General features: G+C 44.9%; 1 protein-coding gene and 1 pseudogene across 1 annotated transcript in view; one reads left to right on the forward strand and one right to left on the reverse strand.

The window, feature by feature from the left end:
• The window catches only part of SPATA13 (spermatogenesis associated 13), a 327268-nt gene that overhangs the window by 130566 nt on the left and 172851 nt on the right, over window positions 1-23851 (forward strand). The gene's annotated exons all lie outside the window — the stretch shown is intronic.
• IPO7P2 (importin 7 pseudogene 2) lies at window positions 10591-13455 on the reverse strand (annotated as a pseudogene).

Raw genomic sequence — 23851 nt, forward strand, 5'->3', positions numbered from 1 at the left:
CAAACCTTGGGAGGGGACTGCATTTTAGGACTAGGATTGATGGAAACAGATCCAGACTCACTTAATATTGTAATATGTCCATGGGTCAACTCCAAACCCCTTGACTCTGCCGGCTGCTGTAGAGATGAATTGCTTCACTTGAATCTGCATCAGCCCCCAGTCTAAGCCTAATCTTTACTGCCTCCTAAGGCGGTGGAGAAGCAGGGTTTGTGGGTAAATAACCATTTGTTATTCATTCATCAAACCTTGAGCAAACACTTGCCATGGGCCAGACACTGGGCTAGATCCTGCGGACACAGAAAGGAAACAAACATGCCCCCGCTGATGAGGTTCTTAGAAGCTATTTGGGGAATACATATGTAACCTAGGATAACTGAGCAATAATTGTAGAAACTGTAAAGCAGATTACACATGGGAAAGGGCAGATCTTTCCACCCAATAACCAACTTGAGATAAGGAAGTTAAGAATAAACACCAAGGTTTTTGGACCCCTGCTAAAGACTGAAATATGTTTGCACCATCTCTGCGCATAGCATATTCTTGATTATCTCTTTTTATTTTTTATTTTTTGAGGTGGAGTCTTGCTCTTGACCAGGCTGGACTTCAGTGATGCAGTCCTAGCCTCGAACTCCTGAACTCCAGTGATCCTCCTACCTCAGTCTCCCAAGTAGCTGGGACTACAGATACTTGACACCATGTATGGCTGATTTTTTTTGTATTCTTCTAGAAATGGGGTCTTGCTATGTTGCCCAGGCTGGTCTTGAACCCCTGGTTTCAAGTGATCCTCCCACCTTGACCTCCCAAAGAGGCCAGATACATGCATGAGCCACCACACACAGCCAACTCCCTCTTTATTAATAAAAATAATAAAAGAGGCTAGTGAAAAAAAAATTCTAACAAACTATAATATCTTCCATCCTCTCCATCTCCGTTGCTAGTACCTTAATTCAGATACTCATTATTTTATCTCTCTAACATGAATCTTGCCTCCTGGAATCTATCCTTCCAGGGGGACTTTGATTGCATCCTCTCTGTCCTGCCCCGCCACCCCCACCCCAGAAACAGAGTCTTGCTCTGTCACCGAGGCTGAAGTGCAGTGGTGCAATCACGGCTCACTGCAGCCTCAACCTTCCCAGCTCAAGTAATCCTCCCACCTCAGCCTCCTGAGTAGTTGGGACCACAGGTACACACCACCACACCTGGCTAACTTGTATTTTTTGTAGAGATGGGTTTTCACCGTGTTGCACAGGCTGGTCTCAAACTCCAGGGCTCAAGCGACCCGCCTGCCTTGGCCTCCCAAAGTGCTGGAATTATAGACATGAGCCGCCATGCCCGGCCTGCGTCCATATTTTAATGTAATCAAATTGATCATTTTTTCCTGTTTTCTAATGTGAAACCATCCTTGCATTTCCTACTTGGTCATGATAGCTATTTTAAAATAGATTGTTAGAATTTCTTTGCTAATGTCTTGTTTCACTATTTTGCCTCCGGGCTTATAATGCAGACTAACTCATAATCTCCCCATTTATGTTTCCTTGTTTGATGTTGGTATTGAGGTTATACTGCCTCTGTCCAATCAGCGGAAGCACTTTCTCATTCTTATATTCTCTAGATCGTTTTGAATTGGATAAAGACTCTTGTTCTTGACAGTTGGCAAATGGTAGTTCTTTGGCCTCATCTTCTAAAAGCAGCATTTTTATACAGTTGATGCATCTTCTCTAGTTGGCCCACAGGACACTCTCTAGGCTGTCCTTCAGTCTCACTTACAGTGGAAATGTCCTTTCCTTTCTGCACTTCTGCCCCCCATTCCTTCTTGCAAAGCTGAGTTATTGGCCAGACACCAATTAAAACAGATTGTTCTCTCCTCTGGCATTGTAGCAAAGCTGTTTGGTTTGACCTAAACATTTTCCATTTACAATAAAAATCTACCCTTAACTCACTGGGTCAGTTTGCTACTCTGCTCTTGTTGCCCCTACAGCACCTTCTGTGCCACTCTGTAGTGCTCCCCACATTGTATGACAATCAATCCTACACGTGTTTTATCTCCAACCAGAACTTGAGCTCAGTATACACTGTGCTTTGTTCATCCTTGTACTTCCCATGCTGAAGAGTTGAATTCTCATGCTCAGCCACGGAAGTAGCAAGGATGCAATCCATTTTTGCATCCCATTTCTTGTGCCAGGCATACACACACACACACACACACAAACCCAGTAAATGTTTGTTGGATAAATGAACAAAATGTTCTTATCAGCTAAACACAAACAGCTCATTACAGCTGTTTGTTTGTTATATTATCACTGTGTAACAGGAGGTGCTGATGTCTCAGTCTTCATCTACTTTCTCAGTCTTGATCCACAGTTCTCTGTTCTCTGCCTTCATGGGCTGGGCACTCATCCTTCTTCTGTAAGACCTTCCATGTCTCGTAGTAGTATGATTTGGTCTTTGCTGTCATTGCTTCAGATTCTTACCCACGCATTCACTCTCTTATTCTATTTCCATTGCTCTGTTGCTAAGGCCTCCTTTCTATGGTTCAGATTTCCTTGAGCGTTTTCTAGAATTCTACTGATTTATAATTCATTCTAGCAGACTCAACAGGAGGGGCTACTTACTGTAATGAGTCACAGCCAAGAAAGTCTGGCTTCCTGGAAGCCTAGGTTCCCAGGCATAGCCTCCCCCAGAAACTAGAACAAATGCTGTCACTGAGGGACTTCTCGGCTCTCTTTCCTAAAGTTTCCTGAAATGCTACTTGAAAGGCTAACCGGACAATGTCCACTTTAAGTTTTAGTTTTGTAAACCACTATGTGCAAACCACTATATCTGCACGTGCCAAAGGAAAACATATTTTTACATCAGTTATTTAATATCCTAGGCAAAAGTTACTTTGGTTCAAATCATCCTTAGTAGTGACACCAATTCTCTTGAATTGGATGTTTCATAAAGCTACTTCTGGGACCAGGTGCAGTGGCTCACGCTTGTAATCCCAGCACTTTGGGAGGCCAAGGCGGGTGGATCACTTGAGGTCAGGAGTTCAAGACCAGCCTGGCCAACATGGAGAAACCCCATCTCTACTGACAATACAAAAAATTAGCCAAGCGTGGTGGCATGTGCCTGTAGTCCCAGCTGCTCGGGAGGCTGAGGCATGAGAATCGCTAAGATAAGTAAAGAAAGCTACTTCTGTAAAACAAGCATATTATCTTTTTAAATGAAGCAAGAAAATAAGGCTGGGCGAGGTGGCTTAAGCCTGTAATCCCAGCACTTTGGGAGGATGAGGCAGGCAGATCACGAGGTCAGGAGATCCAGACCATCCTGGCCAACATGGTGAAACCCCATCTCTACTAAAAATACAAACATTAGCTGGACATGGTGGTGCATGCCTATAATCCCACCTACTCGGGAGGCTGAGGCAGGAGAATCGCTTGAACCAGGGAGTTGGAGGGTACAGTGAGCCGAGATTGCACCACTACACTCCAGTCTGGCGACAGAGTGAGACTCGATCTCAAAAAAAAAAAAAAAAAAAAAAGAAAGAAAGAAAATATAGTTATATAAACACCAACAGAAGTATCAAGGATGTGTTACAAGTTTGCAGATTTGCAAAGTGTTCTCCGTGGTTATGGGTTTGATCTTTCATACAGATTACTTGAGGGATGAAAATGTTTTCTACAAGTCTGAATGTGGAAGAGTAATTCAGTTTCTTATTAGTGCTTATCTAAGAGGTGCAAGACATTCATATGCAGTGTAGAAGGACAAGTGTAGACTTTGGTTAGATTGTATAATTCAGATGTGCTACAAGGTGCAACAGAAGCTTTCCAGAAACAGCTTTTGGAGAGACTGCCCGCCAGTTTTTTGAAAGCCTACAAAAGAACAATTGATATTCCTCTTTGTGGGGGTCTGTCCAATCAGATTGTGAATCTTTCTCATTGCTTTCTGAGAGTTAGAATTGATTGAAAACCAATATGCGAGCATATAGAAGCTAATTCAGTGTGCACGTGTGTGCCTGCATGTGTGCACATGCGCGTGTGTGTGCATGTGTGCACACATGTAGAGCCTGTCCTAGTGCCTTACCACAGCAGACTACTTGGTGAGCAGGAAAGAGAGCTGGCCAGCACACACTTGGCCTGGTGCTGCCTCCACTGTTTCTCTTGGCATCTCAGGCTGTCAACTGGCTGCCACATTGATTCAAGGCTGTCATTTTTTTTTGTTTTTAGATGATTTCTTCCATTTTTGATTTTTTATTTTCGAAGGAGCTCAAGGTCAAACTCTCCTTAGTTTTTTTTTTGTTGTTGTTTTTTGTTGTTGTTTTTGTTGTTTTGAGATGGAGTTTTGCTCCTGTTGCCTAGGCTGGAGTGCAATGGCACGATCTTGGCTCACCACAACTTCCACCTCCCGGGTTCAAGTGATTCTCTTGTCTCAGCCTCCCGAGTAGCTGAAAATACAAGCATGCACCACCACGCCTGGCTAATTTTGTATTTTTAGTAGAGTTGGGGTTTCTCCATGTTGGTCAGGCTGGTCTCGAACTCCTGACCTCTGGTGATCCGCCCACCTCGGCCTCCCAAAGTGCCGGGATTACAGGCATGAGCCACTACACCCAGCCCCTTGGCTTTGTTTTGAGCCCAGCCCAGGTTGAGTCCTGGTGACTCTGACAGGAGGAATTTCCAGAAACATTGTTTTAGGGGAGGAGACAAGGTTTCTTGTTTGCCGTATATGCTCCTGCAGAGAAGAGGAAGTGACCGTGGAGGCCATCTGGCCCTGTGTTTTGATATGGCAAAATTAATGAATGCAATCAGAAGACCTTTGAGCAAGAAAGTACCCTGGAACAACCCAATTTGGACTGCAAGTATTAGTTGGGTCTTCCAGGTGCCTCTCACAGCAGCAGTCATGGCAGCAGTGACTCTAGCCATGTCCATGACCAACTGCTGCATAACAAATAGCCCCGAGACTCAGCAGCTTACAACAGGGTCCCCAGCCCACAGACTGGCACTGGTCCATGGCTTGTTAGGAACCTGACTGCGCAGCAGAAGGTGAGTGAGCATTACTGCCTGAGCTCTGCCACCTGTCAGATCATCAGGGGCATTAGATTCTCATAGGAGCGTGAACCCTATTGCAAACCGCGCATGCGAAGGATGTACGTTGCGTGCTCCTTATGAGAATCTAACTAATGCCTGATGATTTGAGGTGGAACAGTTTCATCCCCAAACCATCTCTCTCCCTTCATGTCCATGGAAAAATTGTCTTCTACAAAACCAGTCCGTGGTGCCAAAAAGGTTGGAGACTGCTGGTTTACAACCGCAATGAACATTCATCATCCCACACAGTGTCAGAGGGTCGGGAACACGGGTGCCCTGCCTGTGTGCTTCCGGTTCCAGATTTCTCAGTGGGTTGTGATCAAGGTATCAGCGGAGGCCGTATTCATCTGCAAGCTTGACCAGGAATAGAAGAGCCACTTCATGGGTGGCTCACTCAGATGCCAGCAGGTCAGTGCTGGTGGCTGGCAGGCAGCCTCAGCTCCTCACCTCATGGATCTCTCCTGAGCACAGTTTTCCTGTCCTTACAACCTGGTAGCTGGCTTCTCCAGAGCAGGTGACTCAGGAGAGGACAAGGTGAGAGCCACAGAACCTTATGATCTAGTCTCAGAAGTCACACGCCATCATTTCTGCAATGTCATTTTGGGGTTCCAGGTCAGCTGTATCACTGTGGGAGGTGAGTATATAGATGTCCTAGACCATTCAGGCTGCTATGACAGAACACCATGAACTGAGTGGCTCATGAACAACAGAAATTTCCCACAGTTCTGTAGGCTGGGAAATCCAAGATCAAGGTGGCAGCAGGTTCAGCGTCTGCTAAGCTCCTGCTTTTCATGGATTGCATCTTCTCACTGTGTCCTCACGTGATGGACAGAGCAAATGAGCTCTCAGGCACTAGTCCCAGCCATGAGGACTCTGCTTTCATGACTCATCACTCCGCAAAGGCCCACCTCCATCAGAAGACAGCTGCTAACTGCAGCTGCCATCCTCCAAGACGGGAGACACAGAATTGGGGGACATATACATTGAGATCTGAAAGGCCTGGACAGCAGCAGGTGGGGATCGTGGGGGCATCTTGGAGGGTGGCTGCCGCAGTAGCATTTCCTGAGCCCATGCTTTCTGCCTTGCACTCATCTCCTGCACTTGATCTTCATTATCTCAGGCAGTCCCCACAACGACTGTATCTAGGAGTTCATTTTACCCTCATTTTACAGATGAAACGTCTCAGAGGGTAATGTGCTTGCCCAGTGTCTCACAAATGCAAAGTCACTGAGGTAGGATTTCAACCTAGGTCCAATCATCTCTGCAGCATTAGGGGTTCACCATTGCCATAGACTTAACTGTGTCCCCCAAAATTTGTATGTTGAAGCCCTACCAGCCCCCCCCCCCCAATGTGCTGATGTTTGGAGAAAGGGCCTTTGGGAGGTAATTAGGTTTAGATGAGATCATGAGGGTGGGACTCTCATAATGGCATTAATGCCATCAGGTGAAGAGATACCAGAGACCTTGTGTCCTCTCTCTCTGCAATGTGAGGACACAGTGAGAAGGCAGCTGTCTGCAAGCTGGGAAGAGAGTACTGACCAGGAACTTAATCAGAGGGCATCTTGATCTTGGACTTCCCAGCCTCCAGAACTCTGAAAAGTTAATGTCTATTATTTAAGCCACGCAGTCTATGGAATTTTGTTAGAGCCAACCCAAGCTTACTAAGATAATCAGTATGCTGCACTTTCTATAAATGTAATTTTTACATTTATAAAAACAAAACAAGAGATTTGCTGCTCTATAACAACTGTACCTACATTGTAGATGGAATAACAAATCTACATACAGATTTAGTAATCTCTATGTAGATATAGAACATAGTGTATCTAATAAAGACATAGTGTCTGTGGTCTGATGTTAATTTTAGGAATTAGCCGTCACTGATTGGGCCTTGTCCAGGTATTCTTCTCCCTTGTCCTGGCTCTGTAACCTAGTTATCCTTGTCTTTGCTAACCCATAACCAACTATTGTATCAGGACTATTATGCCACTACAGATGATGCAGTTTGGGTTTACTGTTTCTCACCATTTAGACAATACTTCATCAAATATATTTCTGTATGACTTTAGTGATGTCAGTTTTTGATTCATTCCTGCATAGATCTGGGCAAATTGTAGACCTTAGGAGGTGTATTCACCATCCAGTTCTCTGGAACTGCTTATGACATTTTTCTCTGAGCTTTCTTGTCCCAAAAGGAGCCTTCCTAAAATAGTCTTTAAGTGCCTTTAAAAAGAGAAAGAGAAATTAAGAGAAAAAAAACCCCAAACTCATTCCTTTACTCTGATGTGACAGTCCTCCCAGGACACTGCAGTGGCCTGAGTTTTGCTGTTAATTTCATTCACTTATGTTTGGGCTATGTAAATTCTGCCTAGAGCTGGAATGTCATTATGTAAAGAAATATTTTTTGTTTATATTCTTTAATAGTACCAGTAATGTATATCTTATTCAGCTTCGAGAATATAATTGGGTTGTTTATAAAAACCACACATCATCAAACTCACATTGTAACGATTATTTCACTTTTCAAAAAAAATGGCATTAGAAAAACTTGAATGATGTTAGTTATCTTAAAGAAGTGTGTACTATGTTTTTCTGGCTGTCAGCTCCATTTGTTACAACCAACTACAGATTATAAATTGGTTGATCAAAACTCTAAAACAGAAAACCACAAGCCCCAATATTATGAGGAAATCTGGAACAGCACGTAACTCCAAACCTGAGCGTAGACCACCACTGCAGAAGCCAGGTGCTGGGAAAAAGCACTCTGTGTTCCACCACCTGACATTGCTCTGTGCCTCAGAGCACTCACTCCCCATCATGGTCTCTTTTTACCAACAGGGGTCTAATCCCTAATTTATAGATAAGTTATTTCTAATTTACAACAGAAAAATGCCACATGTACAAAATTGCTTATGCATTGCTGAAAATTACAAAACTACTCTTACTAGTTACTCCTGGCACGTGTGGATTATTTATACCTGATATATTCAGGAAACAAGGAATTCCTAAGCACCAGAAGCTCAATTCACTGAAATGTAGAATCATTACAAAGCACATGTCAGATGTGGCTCATTCATTCCAAGCTTGTAGCCTGCATCAGTCTCCTAGGTGGTTTATTAAAACACAGATGACTTAAGCCCCACCCCCTGAATTTCTGACCCAGTGGGTCTGGGGTAGGGTCTGAGAATCTGCATTTTCACCAAGTTCCTGGTGATGCTGGTGCAGTAGCTTCAGGAAGCACACCCCAAGCAGGACTGCATCACTGTGTTTCTTAGGGAGAGGGACCACATGATAGTCTTACCCATCTGCAGCCCTGGTGTGGTGCCTAGCACATAATCACCTCTCAATAGCAAATAACAGCAACAGGAAGAAGAACTAACTGTTATTTGGCTAACCACACGCTGGTTCCCGTGTTCAGTAAGAACTTTACAAAGATTCCAACTCTGTCAGGTAGACGCTACATTTTTCTTTTCTTTTCTTTTTTTTTTTTGAGATGGAGTCTTGTTCTGTTGCCCGGGCTGGAGTGCAGTGGTGTGATCTCGGCTTACTGCAACCTCCACCTCCTGGGTTCAAGTGATTCTCCTTCCTCAGCCTCCTGAGTAGTTGGGCCTGCAGGCGCCTGCCACCGCTCCCTGCTAATTTTTTTTGTATTTTTAGTAGAGACAAGGTTTTACCATGTTAGCCAGGATGGTCTCGATCTCCTGACCTTGTGATCTGCCCGCCTCGGCCTCCCAAAGAGCTGGGATTACAGGCGTGAGCCACCGCGCCCGGCTGACACTAACTTATGTTCCCATTTTATAGAGGGAAAAATGGAGCCTTAGAGAGGTTAAGCACCTGGCTCAGAATAACATGGCCAGTTTGTGGTGGGCCCAGGAAAAAAAAGGGTACTTGAGCCATGTTCCCAGGAATATTTTAAAAGAAAAAAATTGTATACAAATTCAACAGAAAAGTTTTCAAATTGATATTGAGGGAGAAAAAATCATTGACCAAACTTGACTTTGCAAGCCATATTTTTACTCAGCAGCTGCTAGATGTTTTTCAGTGGGTCCAGACATGTAGGATACCACCTTCATGGGCATCTCTCAGAGCTTCTTCTGGAGAATGCTTTTGCTCCAACTGAGGTAAACATCTGTGAGAACCTCTGCATGGTGTCCACAGCTCTCTAAAGGGTCCTCAAAGGCAGCCCATGACTTGCTTAGAACAGCAGAGCCCCTTTGCAAGCTTTGTCTCATCTGTGTCTTCTAACTTAGCAAAAGAATCTGAACTCCTTGCGGTGAGGGTCTTATCTCCTGGCTTCACTGTAAACAATTCAGGATTCCTGCAGTAGCTGCCAAGGAAGGAAGCCTGGGAGAGCTTCCCAAGGCCCAAGACCCGGCCAGCCCCCACCGTGCATGGCAGGCAGAGCTAATTCTCCGTCAGTCTATGCATGCTAGGAGAATGCTTTGGGACAATGTCCTGATAGTAAACACCATGCTGTTTAAACAGAATTCCCATTAGCTTTTCCATGAGGGAGCAAATGCAGAAGTTTTCTTCAGATAGCTTGCAGTTTCTCAGCCATCCCCAGCCCCACCCCCACAGAGTGACAAGAAACAATCACCAAATGGCCGTTGTTCCATTGATCTGTTTATTTCTCTGTCTTTGGGGCAGATGGATCAGGTGCAGGCCTGCTGTGGTTTGTATCAGGCACTTAGGCAGTCCTCAGCCCTGTCTCCCTCTGTTCCTTCCTCCCTCCCCGGAAACTCTTGGGATTCTGTTTCCGCCTCTGAAAAAAAAATCAGGATTCTACTACTACTGTTTAATTTCCTAGTAAATGGTTATTGAGAAATTGGAGTGTAACTACAGGGAAACACTGCAGACTGTGAAAGACCCACGTCTTTGCCAAGCAGACGCTCTGGGCAAGTCGCCTGGGTCACTAACTTTGACACTTTGGCTGTGTTGCTTTTCTTTGGGGAAGATGTATGGCTAAGCTGTCTTTACTTGCCTGTGTCCCTATCAGGCGCAGCAGCAGTAGGAGTTAAGTAAAAGGAGTTAAATTTCTCCACCTTTTGCACATCAGGAGCATGGTCTTCAGGGTCAGATTACCTGGATTCAAACTCTGGCTACACCACTCACTAGCTGCCTGGCCTTGGGTGAGCCACTATACCACCCTCTGCCTCTGTTTTCTCATGTGAAAAGGGGGGACAGTAGTATTATCCAGTTCCTGGGTTCCATGAAGGTGAAATATTAATGCTTATGAATTGGCACAAAGTAATGCTCCATAAAGGGTTGTTGTTATTACAAAAGCTTAAAATCAAAATTAAGGTATCCTCTTTAAAAAGTCCTTGCACATGTTTAGAAGCTGGTGAGGCTGCCAGGTGTTTTCATTGCCTACCAGGTACTTACAGTTTAAAAGAAGAAATGGGGCTAAACATGGTTGGAGGGAAAAGTACACTGAGTTCTATTCACAAAGGTGAACTCAGGTACTGCGCTGTCACGAAAGAGTGGATGGTACTGACTGTGGGAAGCTTCCTGGGGTCTAGGTCTGAGGAATAAAACTGCAAGATAACAAACGATAACGAGGAAGTAGGAGTGCTTGCTTGCTTTTCTTTTCTTTTTTTTTCTGAATTAAGTTCTTTTAATAGATTGCATATATAGATGTTCAGCCATACCCTTAGATCAACTCTTAAGAGTAGAACTTTATATCCAATTAAATGCTCTAGATACCACCTTTCTTATTTTTTACAGTAAGGTCTGGTATTCAAATACCCACTTGTACACTGACAGCTTTAAGAAAAGAGGACACAGAGGGAGCTGTCATTTTTAGCAGCAATGAAATACCACTAAACCCTTTTTACATACCGAATTCAAGTCACTATCAGAGGTGAGCGCACCACAAAGTCAGCAGGTACAAAATTGCTAGTTCGTTTTTCAATTAATAACTTGAAATTACCCTTGCCTCACACCCCATTACATCTTTTTATAAACAGCAAACATTTTGCTATTTTATACATAGGCTAGCAGGCTTGTTTCAATATGAAAGTGCCAATTCATTTCCTGATTTTTATAATCAGTTATGTAGTGCTACAATAAATGACCAATAATCTACATAGGAACAATGATGAATGAAAATGATGAAGATTGAATAAAGCTATCAGATTACCTTATCTTATTGACATATAAAGAATAGATACCCAATGGTGAGGAAGAGACAGAAATTGGACAAATGCTCATAGGTGTAAAAATTACATCTACCTTTGAGTTTTATACTGCAAATGAGACATTTTAAATAGTCCTGTAGCCCTTGCCTATTCTTTCCTCAGAAAAAGAAAAGCTGCCTTCATGACATCCCCTCGTGTTTCAGATTTCCACAGTGTCACTTTGAAGCTTCACAGTCAGGATCTTCCTTTCTTCAAAAAATAAAGAAATATGCCCCCTAAGGTACCTCCCATCCCCCTCGATCCCCCAAAATCCCGCTGGTTTCTTTTCCAGTGCCAGGTTGCATGATCGGGTCCCATCTCCTGGGGTTGTTGTTTCTTTTGTCCATCTATTCATCATTAGTTTAGAGTAGATAACATGAACCACTTCTGGAACCACTGCTAGGACGAACACAAGCTCTTCACTACAATCACACAGCAGGAAAGAAAGAGATAACTCAATTCATCCCTGGTGCTGGGCCTCCAAAATTGAAAGAACTTGGCACAACTGGAGCACTGAATTTGTATCCTCCATGCTTCTCAATCATTTTGGATTCATGGGCTGCTCTTCTTTGATCAGCCAGCATTGCTATATACTGTAACTGTTTTCTTTGTTCTTCAGAAAGATGGTGAGTCAGAGCCTGATACCACACAGGATTACGATTTTGAATAGTTTGAAAGATAGTTTGAAACTATTCAAACTATCGATTTGAATAGTTTGAAAGATAGCTTTAAATATCTGATACACATCAACAGGGTTATCTTCATCATCAATGATTGTGGAATAGCCTTCCAGAGCAGTCTCTTCCGCATCATCTTCTTACCAGTCTTCATCGTCTCCATCTTCACCAGCCTGCTTAGCCAGAATCTCCAAATATTCTTGCCCATCTTCATCAATATCATCTTCATCACTCCCCGGTTCCTCTGGTCAGTGCCACGCCCTTTGCACTGCAGAGCGATGACCTCTAACAATTTTGTTGCATGACACTCTGCATCTTCTCCTGCAACTCCTGTAAGAACCTTTTTGCACATACTGTATATCACTTCAAGATACTTGGTGACAGACAGAAGTGTGTCTGTATCAACTGTTACATAATTACGAAGGAGGAGCATCATATCTGTAAAGTAATCAAAGCCATCTTGCTGGAAGACTTCAAATACAAGGGGAAGTAGCTGCCACATCTGTGGAGACTCTCGTTGTCATGTCAAACTGTGCACTAAAGAGAAGATCTCCTCATAGAATTCTAAGACATGCTGTTGTAAAACAGTAGGAACGACCTGTAAGCAGATTCCCTCGAGCTGTTGGGTTATCTCTTAATGATCTTCAGCTACACTAAGAAGCGTGTCAGGTGTATTCAGAATTCCCATAGCAGTAACTGCTTTGTCATCACTACCTTCTTCATCTGGCCCCATCTGGATTACTTGGTTAAATGTCATTGCCAAATGTTGTGTCATTTCTACTGCAATAGGAGTAAATTCTTCACTATATTCACAGATCATTTTCTGAATTGCATGGGTAAGGTCATCATTTTCTGTTTCTCTGATAATATGAAGAAGAGCCTGCATTACAGGTCTGATGAATGGTGTGATATATTCTTTAGCTTTTTCTTGATTGCTGATCAATACTTGAAGGGCAATGGCAGCTTCCACTTTCACAGGCATTTCTCTATCATCAATCAGACATCTTCTTGTCAGCTCTAAGGCTGTTTGAAGGTTCTGATCACTTTCGAACTTCACTTCACAGAAATAGTGAATTACCCAGCAAGCCCTTGCTCTCATGTAGCCTAGTTCACTGCTGAAGAGGGGGAGTACATGATTCTGCAACATGCATTCCATCTGATCGTTATAGATCTTTTTCTTCAGAAGTATTTCAGCGAAAGAGCCAATCATATGCAGGGCTCCATCTTTTTTTCGAGGGTCAGCATTTGGTTCTGTAAGAATCTGGTAACAAAATCCTATAGTCTTTTGCAGTACCTCTTTCCTCTTACTACAGGCTGTAAACAAAAGTGTCTGGGCAGCAGTGGTAGGAGAAATGAAATCTTCAAACACATCAAACTTCATGCATATATATTCGTAAGGGTCTTCTTGCCAAAGTTCCTCATCAGCATCTGTATAGCACATCAGTGGAAAAATAACATCTTGGATAATGCCTTGTATATGGGGCTTTGGATTCTTCCAGGTGAGAGCATGAGAAACTCCTTGATTAATAAAAATTACAAAGGCAGTGAAGGCCCATTGGGGAATATACAGGAATGTTTAAAGCAGAAAATAAAACTCCTCCACCCAGAGATCATTGTTAATTCCCTAACTCATTTCCTCTTTCAGGCTTTTGAGATAACCTGGGCAGACTCTGGCCATGGGAAAGGAAGGCTCAGGGGCCCTGTGAGATGCTGGTGCCGTCCAGCTTGGCTCCAGCTAGGAAAGATTGGGCCTGGGGTCCTGGACACACAGAAAGCAATGGGATTTGTCAGAATCGTCACCAGCTTCCTCTAAGCCTGGGCAGCAGAGTCTTCTAAGCACCCAGCAACATACAAATTCACCAAAGAAAGCAGTTATTAGAGTTCATACAGAGAAAGGAGCTGATGATAAACTGATTTTCGGTTTTTAAAGATTTGTTTGGTGTATTAAAATGTGTTTTTGTTGTCTTTAGTAGTCTATTGACACCACCTTAGAATCTCTCTCATTCATTTCTCATCTATAAGATGAGGAAGGTAACAGCCACACTTCTTTCTCTTAAGTTACAGACTCCCAGGGAGCAGGTTGCTGAAAGCTCTTTCAGGACACAGTCGAGGTGTAGAGCCCCGTCAGTGTCTAACATAACAGAAGGACAAGGTGGATAGAAGGGCAAGGTGCCTTTCCAGGGCAGCTGCAGAGTATCAGACTTTCTCGAAGGAAGGTGGATGGCCTGGTGGGACGCAGTGCTCTCATCTAGATTCTGGTGAGAATGGCAGTCCTGGAGGTGAATTTAGTCATAGTCCATCAAACAAGTCTAATTGGACATGGCATTCTACCTCTTCAAAAGCTAAACAGCCCACTTGACAGAAGTTTCCAAGTTTGGTTTAGCAATTCTATATTGTATAGATACTGCTTTTGTCTGTTGTAATGAACAGGAGTTATAATTACTCCAAGGTTTGTTCTTTTTTTAATGTGTACACTACTTTTACATCATCAATTGTTGGTCCATTTTGTTAGTTTCTTACATTCCACATAGACTAGTCTGAATGTTTGCAGTGGGATCAGATGTTACTAGCATATTGTCAGATTTTTTGTCTTATTTTTTTTCTATCACAGCCTGCCTGCCTGCCTAGATCTGTAGAACCAAGTCTCATTCAGGTCAAGGATCAAGTGCTTGAAAGGAACTGAAACTCATTCATAGGGTCAGAGCGGGTGGTGGCAGACAGGAAACATTAGAGAATGTCAGGCAAGGCAGGGGCTCTCCCCGGTATTTCTCCCAATGGCCCCATTGTCTCTCCTCTCTGCCATTTGTTTCCTTTCTCTCCAACCCCTGGACCCATACCCTCTGTGAGGCTCTTAGTTTCTGCTCCCGCATAACATCAGCTTGCGTGGAGAGGCCGCTACACTGGCTCTGGAATCGGTGCTTAGTGGCTCAGGGCTCACGTCTCTTGCTTTCTTCAGCAGAGGAGCCTGGGAGTTGCATCTCCTAACACGGCGGGAGAGGGAGGAGCCCCTTGACTTAGAGTAGGGAAACTTCCTGTCATTCCTAATGAGACTCACCTTATTGTCTTGGGAAAAGAAACTTAGGACATTTCAAGCCTCAGAGTGTAGGCAAGAGGCAAAGCAAAGGCAGGAACCAGGGGGCATGGAGGGTATGTACTGCAGGTTTCTCCTTTTCCACACCTCCTTCAGCATACAGAATACACATGATCCCTTCAGGGGTCGTATGGACCAACCTAAACCACCCCCAGCACAGTTTCTAAAATTCACCAACCAAGTGGTTTAAGGAGCGAGGGAGAATTAAGCAGAGTTCTCAGTTCACCTAGTGAGAATTACTAGCCAAGGAATTCTTCCTTGACTTAGGTGAGATTGTCAAGATTCAAGGGATGGACGTTTTTGTTGCTCAGGAGCAGGAAGGAGGCAAGAGTTCATTTTGGAGGTGAGGAATAAGGAGGAGGGCAGCCCAAGGAAAGTTGCGCTTTGAAGGAGCAAAAAGGAACCAGGAGGCAGAAGGACACAGGAAGCCTAGTGCTGTTGTTGACAATAGGTGCTCATTAAACTTCTGGTCAATTAACTGGAAGAGTAAGGAAAAGACGAATGGAAGGCAAAAGGGGGCCCACTCTGGAATGTGGATTTCAAATGTTCCCTATTGCCTATGCTTTTCCCTGCAGCTGAGAGCAGCTGCCTTTGGCTCTGCTCCTGGCTTGGGCCCTGTGGTTCTTGGGGAGGTACGAATAGAGCAGGGGAGCCAGGAGCCCTGTATCAAACAGGCGAGAGTCTTGCATCTTCCTTTCTGATGCATTCTAGAAGTGATGAGAAAGCATCTTCCTCCACTCCCAGTCTGTTGCAAGATCCTGCTGGAATTCCACTCACTTCTCTGCCCTCACTTGCTACAGGGACTTCCTCTCCAGGATGAAGTCATGGGGGCAGGAGCCATGGGGAGCCTTTGCGGCTGTGACCCATGATTGAGTCTGGGGGAGGGGTAGCTGGAGGTGGGGTACAGCCTAAGGCCAATGAAACAGTTTTTCACAGCATTAACTTAATGGGAAATGGAGGGACTCACAAGCAGATCTTGGACTTATGACTGCCACACTCTGCTCTGACCTGTGGGGCTGACAGATTGCTCCTCAGTAGATGTTGGACTTGGGTAACTTTCTCCTTCATGTCCCTTAAAACCCACGACAATTGTGTCTATTCTGGAGTTTCCCTGGCAAGAGAAAGTGAGCGAAAAATAAGCATTTACGTATATATATTTGTGTGTGTGTGAGAGAGAGAGACAGACTCCCAGGGCGCAGGACAGAGACAGGTTCTGTCACTCAGGCTGGAGTGCAGTGGTATGAATATGGCTCACTGCAGCCTAGAGCTCCTGGGCTCAAGGGATCATCCCACCTTAGCCTACTGAGTAGCTGCAACTACAGGTGTGTGCCACCATGCCCAGCTAATTTTATATTTTTTTGTAGAGATGCAGTCTCACTATGTTGCCCAGGCTGGTCTCAAACTCCTGGGCTCAAGAGATCCACCTGCCTTGGCCTGTCAGCTTGGGGATTTGGTTACAGGCATGAGCCACTGCACTCAGTCCATTATTTTTATTATTAACTTAGCAGCTCTAGGAATCTTTACCCTAAACGTTTTCTCTCTCTAGAGATCATAATGGGAAGACTGGAGATTGTGAAATCAAACAAAAATGGGTTTAAATCCTTTCACATTTGTTATCTAATGTGTGGTCTTATCTCATCTCTCTGAGACCAGTTCCGAGGTTTGTATAATGAAGTTAGTAATATTACCTCCTTAAAGCATTGAGGATTTAAGTGGAGAATACCAGTGTTGAGGTAGAAATGCCAGTCAATCCTGGCAGGAAGGGGGATGACTAGAGGACTGTTTAATAAGGGAGTTATTTACAAAGGTGTGGCCAGGGTAGGAAGCAACAGGGACAGAGCTTACCCAGGCTGGTAGCAGTGAGGCCACCCTCTCCAGCTCTGAGGGGGTGGGAGTAGGGCATTGCCAGAACCTGCCTTGCAGGTACTGTGTGACCTTTAGTCAAGAGACAAAGCCATCCCACAATGACACCAGCAGGGAGGAGTTGACAACCAGCGTCATTTCCTTCTCTCTCCCTCCAGTTCCCTGCCTGGGCTCCCTCCCCATTGCTGAAATCCAACCAGAGGCCAGAGGGTAGGGGAGCCCCCGTAGGTAGTCTACTGAGAACAGCCTCTGGGGACAGCAGCTGGAGAAGGGTGAACCATAGAGTGAACCAAGGAGACAGAAGATCTCCAGCACAGCAAGAGCTCAAGAAATGAGATGACTGTGATGAGTCATTCAAGTTCAGTTTAGAGCCTTCCAGCCCATAGCTGGTAAGTTTCTTGAGAACAGGCATTTTTGTTTTCTCACAAAGCATTGGTAAATCTCCATACAGATAATATGCGCCCATCAATGGTTGCTGAACAGTGATCAGGTTCTGAAAAAAAGCAAAAAATACTGACTTGTGAGCAAGTTTAACATTTGAAGTTCAAAGACAATGGTATCATAAATTTAAATTGCACAGCAAGGAATAAAAACAAGACAGGCATCAAGTCTGGTACAGCTTCATTTATTTCTTACTCTTCCTACCGAATTGAGTTTGCATCCAGGTACTCCTCATGCCTCCGTTGGCAGAATGATGATGTAATGAACGAACAGCATTTACAGTAAATGACAGCAAATTGCTCTGTAATTCAAGGGCTAACCCATGTGCCACACAATGATCTTTTGATGTCTGTGAATTTCTTCAAGGTGGGTGGGGAAGCTTTTTGCTTGTAGGGAAGGCTCTGGATGGACTGAGCCTCTGACATATCAACTGTAAATCCTGGAGTCCTGGGGCTTTATTCGGAGGAAGAAAGCACCTTCTACAGGCAGCAGTAGAGTGGACTGTCCCAGAATCGAGCCCACTGCCCTGAGAATTGGACTCCACAATGGCCAGTTGGACATTGTCCTTGTGCCCGGAGGGGTGACCTACACGTGGGACAGGAAAGGACATTGTGGCTTCATCACCAGAAATGCTCTGCCAGGTCTGTCCTTCTGGAACTTGCCTAACCTGCTCTGCAAAGGTTTCAAGATGTTCTAATGCATCCACTTTAATTTATTCAAACCCCAATGTACGGTCAGATTTTTCTGGCTTCTGGCTAGCTAGGTGAAGAGAAGGGTGTTGCTCAGAGGTAATTAAATGGTGGGGCAGAGCCATTAGGAAAGTGCATGGGTCCAGGTCATGCTTCTCAGGCCTCAGGTAGCTTTCTGAGAATAGCCTGTCTTTCGGCATCCCAAACTAAGGCCTCCACAGCCACGCCGGGCCCCAGAAATCTGCATTCTAACACTCCTCGCTGATGTGGACAGGCCTTGTTGTGGAAACAGGACTCCCGGGAGCAAGAGAACCAAAAAGTATATTTCAGGAGAATTTAAACATAAAAAAAGTCCTACCTTATTTAAAAAAAAAAAAAAAACTGCTTACTTCCCTTAAAAAATACGTACCTAAGGTTAGCCACTTGCACTTATTTGTAGAATAATCGCATTGTGCTTACATTTCTTGCAAGCAAAATGTCATTTTATTACCAATTGATCTGGCAAGAAAACAAGTGAGCTAAAACCTTTTTATACTTTTTTTTCTCACCCAAGATCAAGTAATGATTGGTTCCACTAAAGGCTTAGTAGAACAGCCCATCTGTGTGACTGCTGCAAAAGTGGGTGACAAACTCTACACCGGGGTAAGTGACCCTTTCTGTTGTTGTCACCCTGTGGCACCGCACCATCTGTTTGTTGAATTCCTCTGATAGGCTGACTTCTAATGATCCTATACTTTAAAGAAGTGGCTTCTGCAGCATGGGCTTTCAATCCAAAGTCCAGGTGGTGTGGGCTGAAAAAAGGAACTGTCCAGACTCTGGTGCTAGTGTCGGGTGGGTTTCCACAGTCCACGCTGAATGCTGGGGGTCAGAGGAGCAGCCAACCATCAAAGTCTGAGTACAGCGTCTGTCCCATGTGAGCATGAGGGAAAGGGAATCCCAGATCTGACTTTCATCCTTCAATTCCCATGCTCAATTATTTTTAACTTCCATGTTTCAGGATGGAAAAAAATTGCCAAAACACACAGAACAAGGCTTGTCCAGAGAATCGTTGAGGATGTGAGAAAAAGTTTAAACTTAAAGTTCTTATGGCCCTCAACCTTCTGGAGTTAGAGGAGGGGAGAGGGTGATTTGCAGACCGGAGGATTGCTGGAGGCCTAACCCTGAAATTAGTAGGGACAGGTTTGTTATTTGGCTGAATCACCTGGCTGGTGCCTGCCTGAAGTCAGAGGAGACGGGCAGGGCCACCCTATGTATGGAATCAAAGGAAGAGCTAGTGGCTTCTGGTTCCTGGCCAGATTTCTGTCTGTTTCTGCTTTAAATAGGCTGTGTACACCCAAAGGCTGTGTGATGGACACATAGTTATTATTCAGGACATAAGACAAACTTTTGCCTGGCATCAGCTTACCATGTGGCCAAAGCCTGCCTCAGTCCCTGTATGGTGAGTGCTGTTGTGCCTGTTGTCCGTGTCCCCTGGGCTGAAGCCCCATGCCACAGCTCTGGGACAAGGGTGGGGGATTAATAACCTTAGGACCTCGCAGGACCCTGGGGTCCCAGCCTTTGGTTGCCTGTACTGCTCCCGGGTGGAGAAATTCACCTGGGAGTCCCTCCAGGTCCTCTGTGGATTAGGGAAGTGCAAAGAGGTGGGTGAGGTAGCCAGGAGGCTACTCCACACAGCCCTTTCCTTCAGGATGTTTTCTTTCTGCCCAGAGTGGTGGTGAACACACAGGCTGATATCATCCCTCTTTTGCAGGGTCTGTCCTGGCTGAGGCAGGTTTGCACCCTGCCTGGGTGCTCAGCACTTCGTGTGAAGGGAATCATTCAGGGCAGTCACAAGCCCCTGCACCCGGGAGTCCACCCTGGAAGCCAGGGGCTGGCCCATGGCTTCACACACACGGCCAGTGGGACTAGGACTAAGTGAGCAGAGCCCAGTTCTTCTCGTTCCCAGTGTGAGCTGATGTACAGGCACCTCCCTGTAACTGGATCAAAAGGGGACTGTTTGGCAAATACAAATCAAAGCACAGTCTAGGACCCAGCCGATTAGAGAGAAGGCATGAATCAGAGAAGAGAGAAAATGGGAAGAGGTCAGAGATAAAGGCAAAGCGTGGTTGATGAGAACTGCAGAAGTACGTGGGAGGGGTCAGTGTTCTGATTTATTGACTACCTTTCAACTCATTGTTTAGCGTCATGGGAACAAGGCGTTTATCAGACAAGATCAGAAGTTTAAAGGTGGCCAGCTTTATGGGGTTAATAACTCCATGTCCATGTTCCCTAAGTGAAGTGAATAGTTCTTTGTGCTGATAACATGCTGACGGTTTAACGGTGGTTTAGAAAGAGCACAGACCACATGTGAAGAAGTAACCACTTACCAGATGACTGTGAAGACAGAAATCAACAGAACCTGCAAACACGCTATTTTCCTGGACCTAAATAAGTGCCCATTCAGATGGTGACTGCTTTTTAAAACCTTTATTTTTCTCTCTATAGGCTTAACATATGTAATGTAAGGAGCCGGGAATCTCTGCAGGTTAAACTGCTGAAAAGAAAGCTCTGATGAGCTACGGAGGAATGAGACAGAGTTCTTACACAGGGGTGGAGCGGGGGACGCTTTCTGGCTTCATCGTGATTCACTTACTTGCCTTCGTGTGAGTCTCCTCCTTTTCTGAAATAAAACCCATCCTAAAGGACAAGGATTGTTCAGTAAGGAAATTCAAGAGATTTTCATATAAGCTTGAAAGTAATCCAGAAAAGGAATTATAAAAATGCTTTGAACAGTAGCTGTATTATTTAAGTCCACTTATTAGGTGGCTGCTTTGAAGAGACAAATGTTTATTGGGGTTTTTAAGTTCTTGTGCATTTGTTTATAGGAGAGAGATAAAGGAATTTCCATCACGTATGGGCATATCTTGTCTTGACCAGCTAGTCCTCTTTCCTATGATGCTTCTTGGACTTGTGCAGAAAGCATTGCCCCTCCTTACCCCAGGGCCAAGGACCAGCTGACTTCTCACAGGGCTGACTCACAAAACCATCTACCCGAAGCATCTCTACTTACCTGACCTGGGCACTGAAGCGCCTTATCTTGTTTACCTCAGAATCCTCCAAGGGCATGGAAATCACTAGAAATCAAGACAAGTCAGATAAAAGGATTTTGTGCTACTTCCAGGTGTCCAGGAGGTAAAGTTTGGATGCTGAAATGTCAAGATTTACAAGACATTTCAGTGGCTTATGAGAACAACAGAACCATGTACTTGAAGTGGAAAATATAACAGAAAATCTGGAAAGCCACAGCTTTCATACAGCTGTACAAATGACTAGATTATTGCTCTAACATCTATCTGAGGAAATAGGAGTTTTGCTGAAGGATAGGGACAACCAATGTGGACCCTGGCTGTCTTGGGAAATTGTAACACTTTTGGGGTGGCAACTGGGAAGAGAGAGGATGAGGACATGAGAAGGCAGGGTGTTAAATAGCAACATAAAACAAGGGAAGGCAGATTAGAGAGGTAGGCAGCTGTGGCAGACACAGCCAACCATATTTCCCTCATAACAGCTCACATATCCCCTCAGGGTACCAATGTGCTCAGCTTAGAACACACAGCTTCCCTGACTCCCTTGCAGCTAGGGTTGACTGTGTGACCAAGGTCAGCCAATGAGATGCGCTTGAGTGACAGACTGAGGCTTCTGAGAATGCTTTTTGAAGGAGAAGTAGCTGACATGTGTTACTTGGATTGTTTCCCTTTGCCCTTCTCCCTTCTCCCTGGGCACAGAGCTGGAATGCAGAAGTAGGAACCATCTTAATGCTACAGGATAAATGCCACATGCTAAGTGTAACAGAAGAGAAATCTAGAACAAGCCTGGAAACTGATCACACTGCAGAGCTGCCATGCAGCCTTGAATGACTTCCCCCAAAAAATCTTCTGTTATAGGAGAACAGTGAACCTCTATTCAGTTGAGCCATCATGCTCAGGCTTCAGTTTCATAGGGCCATCTGGACCAAGTCCTAATTTATGCTGTACTCCAATATATCAGACCCTGGACAGAAGGCCAAGAGGCCAGAGTTTCAGTCCTGGCTCTGTCCTGGCTGTCCTTATTTATGAGTGTGTGACTTAGGCAAACCACCTAGGACCCCAAGCCTCAAATTGGGGGTAAACTAACTGCCAAAACAACATCTCACAGACTGTGTTGAAACTAAAATTATTTAAAAGTATTTGAAAAGTATTAACATTATTAGGAAGGTAAAGAAAGGGGTTAATTCAGTAAGGCCAGGCTTAAGAGAAGACATTAAGAAAATGTGGTGTTTGGAATTCAAAGTCTAGGAAAGGATGGCCGGGCATGGTGGCTCACATCTGTAATTGCAGCACTTTGGGAGGCCAAGGCAGGTGGATCACCTGAGGTCAAGAGTTCGAGACCAGCCTGGCCAACATGATGAAACCCCATTTCTACTAAAACTACAAAAATTAGCCAGTCGTGGTGGCACACGTCTGTAGTTCCAGCTACTCAGTATGATGAGGGCACGAGAATCACTTGAACCTGGGGGGTGGAGATTGCAATGGGCCAAGATTGTACCACTGTACTTCCAGCCTGGGCAACAGAGTGAGACTCTGTCTCAAAAACAAACAAACAAACAAAAACAAGTCTAGGAAAGGAAACTTCATACATAGCACACCTGGAGATGATATGACAGTTGAGGCCAGGGAAGGAGCCAACATTAGCAATGGATTCCCACGTATTTCCAGCGGGCAGGTGGGTCCAGCAGCAGATGTAGCCAGAGATCCTGGTACCCAAAGGCCCAGTGGGATTAGACTGTGCAGCCTATACAGACCAGATGATAGCACAGAGATCAAACTGCCCCACCACAGAACTTCCTCTCTGCACAGGTTGAAGGGAAAGAGAAATGTGAAACACTAAGTACTTAGCCCAGTGAGATTAAGTTCATCTGGTAGAGATTGTGTAAGCCCAGTTGGAAATAGTGGCTCCTGGGACATTTGAGATCTATTATAGAAAATAAAGTTATATTTCTCTGTGTATTTAAACGTTGTAAATTTCAGTGCCTTTGCCCATAGCTACAGAAAGCTTAATGTCAGTGGGCACAGGAAGGACAGACAGGGTCGGCCCTGGAACTAGATACCCCTGCTGAGCTCGGGCAGGTGCTAGGGATGCCTGAAGATGAGGGAAAAAAAGCAAGTCATGCAGGTAAAACACAATAGCTAGAGACAGGCAACAGGTGGTAGGTAGGCGTAAAGGTGTGTGTGGGATGGACCATAACATGTGAGGAGGTGGAGTGCAGCACAGGGAGGCCCAGCTGAGCTGAGCCCAGCAGAGATATTAGCAGACAGCTGTGGGGGAAGCTGGCCATACCTACAGAACCAGAGCACAGGGGAGGAGAGGCAGAATAGTGCCGGGGCCACAAAAAGGAAATAGCAAGAGAACACAGAGTTATGGTCCAAAGGGGCAAGGGGACAGGGCAAACAATCATCGGCACTAGAGCGAGTCCCCAGGATGTGGCCTCCAGAAGAAGTGACAGCCTGCGTAGAATCAGACAGCGCATCCAGAGTGGGGGTTTCGTGAGCAACGCTTCATGTATCCTGTCTGAGGAGGGGGCTGGGTCGAGCCCCTGGGGGAAGGCTCTTTCTGCATGCCTTCCAGAGGTTGTGCTAAGTGTGGTTGCTGGCGGGAGGTGGGGAGCAGGTAGGAAGATGTAGCAAATGGTCCAAACGGAGTGACAAGGTAGAATGGTACCCAGATAGAACTCTGCCAGGTGAGAAATGCCAAGAGAGCTGCAAAAGCTGTGTCCTTGGCTGTGGGTTTGGGCCAATGAATTTCTCTCCCCAGCATGAGGACTTCGCTGCCT

Source organism: Homo sapiens, chromosome 13 (genome assembly GCF_000001405.40).
Source record: "Homo sapiens chromosome 13, GRCh38.p14 Primary Assembly".
Classification (NCBI taxonomy): Eukaryota; Metazoa; Chordata; class Mammalia; order Primates; family Hominidae; genus Homo; species Homo sapiens.